The 7958-nt window shown below is 43.5% G+C and overlaps 1 pseudogene, besides 2 other annotated features; it reads right to left on the bottom strand.

Annotated features, from left to right (window-relative positions):
• Positions 1617–2320: an enhancer, noted in NCBI's record as "OCT4-NANOG hESC enhancer chr12:5136377-5137080 (GRCh37/hg19 assembly coordinates)". NCBI's record gives its function as "activates a minimal SCP1, AML or CMV promoter by ChIP-STARR-seq in primed H9 embryonic stem cells {active_cell/tissue: H9 hESC(primed)}" and the evidence as "EXISTENCE:reporter gene assay evidence [ECO:0000049][PMID:30033119]".
• On the bottom strand, positions 6806–7347 carry LOC390282 (eukaryotic translation initiation factor 3 subunit F pseudogene; annotated as a pseudogene).
• Positions 7459–7958: an enhancer, noted in NCBI's record as "H3K4me1 hESC enhancer chr12:5142219-5142718 (GRCh37/hg19 assembly coordinates)". NCBI's record gives its function as "activates a minimal SCP1, AML or CMV promoter by ChIP-STARR-seq in naive and primed H9 embryonic stem cells {active_cell/tissue: H9 hESC(naive and primed)}" and the evidence as "EXISTENCE:reporter gene assay evidence [ECO:0000049][PMID:30033119]".

Here is a 7958-nt window from a genome sequence, read left to right on the forward strand (position 1 = left end):
CGTGTGTGTTTGGATCCTTGGATCCCATGACTGCCGTCATAACCTTGGTGAAGAAGAGGGCTGGGAGTAGGAAAGAGGTCAAGGTTCGCTTGATCTCTAACCCTATAGTGGGAAATTGTGACGGAGAATATTCAAGAGTGGGTGTGGGTCTGTTTGATTTCAGGTGTAGCTGTGTAAATAGTTAGCCCTGCATATATTTTTGTCTACTCACAACTGCCTGCATGTGTATTCATAGAGTTGTGTGATTCTGTGTATGTGCCTGGGGAGTGGGAGAGGGCCATGTGCACATGTCTGAATACTTGTTTTCAAATATACATGCATGTTTCCATTTGGGTTTCTCTCCATTTGTGTTGTTTGCCTGCCTCTTCTGTAAGTCTCTGAAAGTGCCACATTGGCAAATAAAAGCCACTGGGATCAATAATTCTCCTGTTCTGATGGGAGACATGGAAGCCCACTGAGAAATCTCCGAATACATGTTCCACTAAGAGCTTCCAAAAATAAATGGGAAAAAAGGAGAAATGGGGCACACCCATCTTCTTCACAGAGAGGGAAACTGAGGACCAGCAAAGGGGAATATATGACTGAGATACTATGGCAGAAGCAAATATTGGCTGAGCTGTTCAAACCCAGAATAGGATGGGTTTCTTGAAAGCAGTTTGCCTGGGAGCTGTCTCTATGTCTCCAGTATGATGACTTTTCTCCTTTATAATTGCCCTTCGGCTGTTTTTCATCTCTAGGTAAGTTCTTATTTTGCCATGCCTCAATAGTCAAGAAAATTAAAGAATTGCTGAAGGTTATGCAGTGCTATTTGGGGACTGTGTCTCCATCTGGCCTTTTAGTTAATCAACCCAAGGCCAGGCAAGGCTACATCCTGTGGACAGAATACTCAGAGAAAATTCCCTCTAAATTACGCAGGATGTGAGCACATTCCACACCTTTTCCATGCACTGGTTGAGTGCCTTTGGGTGGGCGGTGGGGGGTGGTGAGGTGCTTATTTTAAGGCAAACTGTTATATTTTTTTAAACACAGGAGTAAGGTTTGTTCATTTGCTTAGCAGCCAAGGGAAGGGAAAAATTAGTCACTTCACAGTTTAGCATTAATATTTGCCCAGTTCTTTGTGGCTGCCTCTGCCTGATAAAGCAGCGCAAAGGGAAATGATATGTTCCAGGTCACGTCTGAATGGAATGAGACTTTTGCTGGGGAGAGCCTTTGTGAGGCAGTGTCCCAGAGAGAGTTTGGGGGAAATTCTCAATGGACTGAAGGCCCTTCATTTTTCTATCCTGTACTACTATGTAACAACTCCAGCTCTGATGTAGGAGTGCTTTGTAGGTATTGTTCATTAGTGTAGGTTGATTGTGTGAATATGATAAACCAAAGTGGTTTATATTTAGCAAAAATACCAAAATTCTTAACTAATATTGTAGACGTTCATCTCTATGAACTGTTTAAGATAATGACAAGGAAGGGTGGTGGTAGACATTTAAGTATATAACATAGCAGGGCTGGGCTACTGCTCAGAGAAAAGGAGGCTCAGAGTACTGGGAGGGAATGTTCCAGAGACAGAAGTAGGGGGCAGGCCCCCACCCCCTGTCTCCCATGAGCTTCCAGCAACTGACGGTTTGGGCTCCTGGCTGTCACCTCATAAATCAGAGTACATCTAATTGAGAGATAAAAACCACCTCCCAGTGGCCTTCATTGTCCTCTTCCTGCTAAAAATTCTGTGGAGACCTCTCCTCCCAACCCACCCCCATACATACTCCACTGTCCACTCAGCTGACCACATGTCCCCAAGAGCTGCTGCAGCCTGACCAGTCCTCTTGGAGCCAGGAATCAGAAGAAAAGATGATTTGATTTCCTCCTTTCCTACCCTCCCTTTCTCTTTTTCTTGCAATTCTCCATATACATGGAGGAACATCTTTCTAAAGAAGCAAGTGCTTGCTTTTTGTCCTCGGTCCCTGAGTACTCTTTGGGCAAAATGTTTGTTACAAAGGAAATGGAGAGCTTTAATGGGGCTTTTGAAATTCAAACCCTCCCAAACAGGATTTAAGGTCGCCCAGTGTGAAAGCTTCAGCTGTTCTGTTAGACGCTGGACAGGGATATGTGGTGGGAAGAGGAGGGAATAGAACACTGAGAAATAAAAGACCCTGGTTTCAGGAATCTTGTATTTTAGTGGGGGTAAGGCATACAAAGGTGTCTGAATAAAATTAGGGAAGAGTGACTTAAACCAGCCATGCATAACAGCCATTATAAAGTTAGAGACACATTCGCGAGGGAGGCAGTTCTGGATTCTCAGAACATCTGAGCTCAGAATCTACCTTTGTCCTCTTCCTGGCTGTGGGAGGGATGCTGGGCAGTTCACATCATTTTTTTTTTTAGTGCATTTTTCATGTATAGAATCAGGATAGGAGGTGCATTTGGCTCTAATAAATATACTTTGGTAGAATAATAACACAGTCATTACAAACCCTTCTTGAAAAATATTTAATAATTTAGCAATGCAATGTTAAATAAAAAAGTAGGAAAATCTCTATTTTGAAAAGAATTATATATAAAACATAAACACGGAAATGTTCACTAGATGGTGAAATTATGGATTTTTTTATTGTTTTGTATTTTCCTGTTTTCTGCAATGCCTATTTTTACTCATAAAAATTTAATATTATAATGTGATGAATCCAGGATTGTTATTCTTTTTTTCTGATGATTATTGAAGTATTTATTTGATCTGCTAATCAGGTCTTCATTATTGACCTGCATACTTGACCCCACTGTTGACCTCTCATGCATTCAACACACAAATATTGGGGGTTTGCTGCCTTCTAGGCACTGAGCTGGGTCTTGGGGGTCCAGACACAAAGACCAGACTTGATTTTCATTGTAAGGACCATGTAAATGCTTACAAAGTAAAGCCTTTAGCCACATCCACTGCTCTAGGGAAAGTAAAAAAGCCAGTCTGGTCAGAGGGTGGGAGTGAAAGGATTTTGTGCCAAAAAGCAAAAAAAAAAAAAAAAAAAAAAAAAAAAGAGTGAAAATGGGGCGGGTTGCTAATCTCCCTGAATCAAGTCTTCCTGTGGCAACCTCATTCTTGGGCAGAATGGGAGAAAATTTTTGCAATCTACTCATCTGACAAGGGCTAATATTCAGAATCTACAAAGAACCCAAACAAATTTACAAGAAAAAAACAAACAACCCCATCAAAAACTGCGCAAAGGATATGAACAGACACTTCTCAAAAGAAGACATTTATGCAGCCAACAGACACATGAAAAAATGTCCACCATCACTGGCCATCAGAGAAATGCAAATCTAAACCACAATGAGATACCATCTCACACCAGTTAGAATGGCGATCATTAAAAAGTCAGGAAACAACAGATCCTGGAGAGGATGTGGAGAAATAGGAACACTTTTACACTGTTGGTGGGACTGTAAACTAGTTCAACGATTGTGGAAGACAGTGTGGCGATTCCTCAGGGATCTAGAACTAGAAATATGGTTTGACCCAGCCATCCCATTACTGGGTATATACCCAAAGGAATATAAAACATGCTGCTATAAAGACACATGCACACGTATGTTTCTTGCGGCACTACTCACAATAGCAAAGACTTGGAATCAACCCAAATGTCCAACAATGATAGACTGGATTAAGAAAATGTGGCACATATACACCATGGAATACTATGCAGCCATAAAAAATGATGAGTTCATGTCCTTTGTGGGGACATGGATGAAGCTGGAAGCCATCATTCTCAGCAAACTATCGCAAGGACAAAAAACCAAACACCGCATGTTCTCACTCACAGGTGGGAATTGAACAATGAGAACACTTGGACACAGGAAGGGGAACATCACACAATGGGGCCTGTTGTGGGGGAGTGGGGGGAGGGATAGCATTAGGAGATATACCTAATGTAAATGACGAGTTAATGGGTGCAGCACACCAACATGGCACATGTATACATATGTAACAAACCTGCACGTTGTGCACATGTACCCTAGAACTTAAAGTATAATAAAAAAATATAAAAAAAATAAACATTATGCACATCTAAGAACTAAATTTTGCACAGACCATGGACTCATTCCATGTTAATAGGGAGGTTTCTTGGAGTAAGAATCTAAGGGATGTTAACGGAAAAAAAATTAATCAATGATATGTGTTAAAGCAAGATAAGGATGATTTTATTAAAGACCACTGTGAAAGGTATGCGGACCACTGCAAAGGGGTCTGGCTGTTGGGGAGAGAGATTGGGCTCAACTCTGAATATAGCATGGGCAACTGGAAATATATAGCCAAGGAACAGGGTGGGAGGTCAGTGGATGGAAAATTACTAAAAGGAACATCAGGGTACGGGGCATTCTGGCTAAACTGACCTCATGGACTCTTGCTGAAGATAGGCCAGGGTGAACATACATCACCAGGGACATTTGAACTGAGTGCCCCCATTTTTTTCTAGGAAAAAGAATGAGTTATTATTATTTTTTATTATTTTCTCTTCTCTCTCCTTTCCATCTAGCCCTTTAGGAATGCAAATATAACCTTTCCCTTCCCCCTCACCAGACATTCCCTGCAGGGCAAGTTCTTCTAACTGTGTGCTCCAAGATAGATATCTCTTCCAGAGCTGACAGTGGATTTGCAGGCCAAAGCACACCCTCCAGGGAACTGTCACCTCCAGCAGGTGGCCTGGAACTTCCACCCTCTGGGAATTGCCTCAAGACTTTCATCCACCAGAAGGGCATATCAAAAGCATGCCAGCTTGACCCCTTTTCCAACTTATTTCTGCCCAGGAAGGTATGACTCAAAGGTCTGGTAGATAAGACACCAAGCTTGCAGGAGGAACCCCTGCCCTTGCTCACTTTCCCCCTTACCTTGTAAAAGTGTCTGTTATCTGCTCCAGAGGTGAAGCAGCACATTTAAAGGCAAGAAGTTTTGTGCCCCTTCCCCAAGCTCACTTCGGAATAAATTCACTATTTTTGTACCAAGTCTTACTCTTGTTCATTGGATTCTGCATGTGGCAAGAAACTGACCTGTGTTTTGGTTACAACATAGTGGAGGACGAAGAACCTTATCAGAAGTGAAGGGTGATCAGGTATCAAGAATGGGAGATTATTTGCTAAAACTAGACTTAGGAGTACACAGATGGACCTAGGAGAAGGTTCGAAGCCTGATTAAAGTTTGGCCAAGCAGAGACTGTTTGTCAGGGGAGGCCAATAATAGTCTTCACATCTATAGCAACAGTACATTGATAGTACCGAGTGGTAGCTATCTTTGAACTACAGCTCTATCAAGTTTCAGTTGACCTTAATATCTAATGACTCTTATTAGTCATTGAACAAAATGCACTCCATAAATGAAGAGACTTGTCAAGAATTAATATATTGACAGAGCTAGGGTTGGGACCTCGGCTTCTTGACTCCCTATCTGGGGCTCTGTGTCCTAATGGACTGGGTCAAGACGAAAATAATTTCTTCTTATAGGGCAGTTCGCACACCCTGGAACTGAATCCTATCTTGTAATGTAACTTATCCTACTAAAAAAATTGATACTAGGCTTCTATATTCTGCTATCTACCGCCATCCTGTGTCTTTGCCTCCCCTCTTTCTTTTACAAATATAGTGCTTCTGTGGCAATCAAAGTTACCATTCAGTTCTCTGGTTGCAAAATATCAAGATGGGATCAGGATGAGAAGAGGGGAAAAGGGAGAAGATGCAGAGGAAAGAAAGGTAAAAATAGACTACTTTTAAAAGAAGAGGAAAAAAACGGTATGTATGCGTATTCAGATTCTCAAAGAGCCAAAAACGAAACACAGGTGCGTCTTTCAGAGCTCCAGAATCAGACCTGAAGACAGCAGACTTCTAAAGACTGTCCAGCGGTCTCCATAATTGCCTACAGTCATGTTTCTGTAACTCATTCCTCATTACTGGTACCTCCTGGTCCTTCTGCTCCACCATTTCCTGGTTTCTACAACTGGCCCCAAGGTCACTGATGATGTTTATGACTTTCTCCTCCACTCTATTGTGAATTCGGATGCCTTTTAGCCCTGCCTCAGATAGCAAGGATTCTTAGCTTAGTGTAGAAACACATTTCCTACATGTTCCCTAAAAAAAAATCACTGTTACACTTCAATTAGACACCTAAATGTCTATGACTAGTACCTCAGTATACACTATACAGCCTCTTTCTTTGAAGAGCCTTTGCAGGGACTGAATGTGGCACAAAATAGATGAAACAGTTATAAAAAAAAGTTATGTTTTTATATTAGAGTTGAGAACCTTGCAGCTTGTGAATATGTGAACTCACTGTAAGGGGCTCGTCTAGGTTTTTCAACAATTGCTGTGGCGGCTTTGTAATGTGTCAAGTGGGCCAGGCTGAAATATGTTTCCCAGAATTCTTTTCCCTGCAAGTTCCCAGTTAGAGTGGGGAATAAGAGACATTTTTGCTTGAAATTTGAAGGACAAAAGTGAAGTGGCAGCCGTGTTACTTTTCACTGTCAGAAGGTGGGGCAGGTGCTTCTGCAGCTCAGGCACATTGTCACTGATCTGTGACTCATGCCCTTGGGGTGGCGGCAGGTGGGCCTGCACATGTTCTGCTTTTCTCTGAATCCTTCACCAGCTTCTCTGATTCCTGGACCAGGTATGTGTTTTAGCTCCATGACAGAGGGAGCCACCTTCCCCTTTAGGACAAGCACGTCATCAGGGTTGGAGGCAGTGAGGACAGAGATATGGGCTCCATTCTGCCCTGAGGGGCCCAGCTTGTCTTTGCCTTCTCCCACATTACATCCACTTTCCCTTCTTTTTTTTTTTAATTTACAAAAAGTAGGCCATGTTTATTAGAGTCACACACAGTTGACTGTCTCAGTGTGACTCAAGACCACGAAAAACCCATTTCTCCTTCACTTCTGAGTCCTGGGGTTAAGACCTAGACCAGCAGGCGTACTGCTTGGGCTCCATTCACAGGTTTACAAGTTTTTCACTGAGGGCAATCTGTGACTGTGTGAGGTTGGCCAGGTAGGTCACCATCAACAGGTCGTTGATGTTACCGTTGAGCATGATCTCGAAGTCATCGGGAACTATTTTGGGTACTTGGTTAACCAGGTTCACCAGGAAGCGGCCAACCGACACCTTTCCAGAGAGTACATCCTCTGCATATTGCAACACTCTGCTCAAGGCATCCCGGATGCGAGCGGATGCCCCTCCTACTTGCTGCAAGTCACCTGAGAGTCCAATCACTCTGTTGGGGCTAAAGCAGGTCTTCACGATCAGGTCAACTCCAATGCGTTCAGTGTCACAGTATACATATTTCACTGTCAGAGGTGTGAACATCACTGCCATGGTCCTCCCAGGCTTTCTTTCTCCACAAGATGGCCACACCGGCGGTACCAGCAAGTGCTCCTCCAGCCACGCCAGCCCCAGCCCCGGCAGCGGTCCCAGCCTCAGTTCCAGCACCAATGCCAGCACCGGCTGCGGCTCTGGTTCCCACTTTCCCTTCTTGATGCATTCCCTGGGGCCCTGGAGTTCCAGCATCTGACAGAAAGACAGTAGCCCTATAGAGACTCTCAACCAGCTCCCGGGATTGCATAGGGTCGAGTCCCTGTAATTGATTATTTACTACACATACCTCTTAGAGGTTCTGCGTTTCTGCTTGCACCCTGACCAATACAGCCTCCTTGCAATGTACACAAGCTTCACAGACTCACTGAAAACCTGGAGTAAGAAATGGGGACAAGGCCACTGCAGTTCAGCCCAGGCAACAAGAGTGAGACCTCATCTCTTAAGAAAAAAAAAAATGACCCAGACGTGGTGGCTCATGCCTGTAATCCCAGCATTTTGGAGGCCGAGGCGGGCTGATCACAAGGTCAGGAGATTGAGACCATCTTGGCTAACACGGTGAAACCGCGTCTGTACTAAAAATACAAAAAATTAGCTGGGTGTCGTGGCACACGCCTGTAGTCCCA

Source organism: Homo sapiens, chromosome 12, assembly GCF_000001405.40.
Source record: "Homo sapiens chromosome 12, GRCh38.p14 Primary Assembly".
Taxonomy (NCBI): domain Eukaryota; kingdom Metazoa; phylum Chordata; class Mammalia; order Primates; family Hominidae; genus Homo; species Homo sapiens.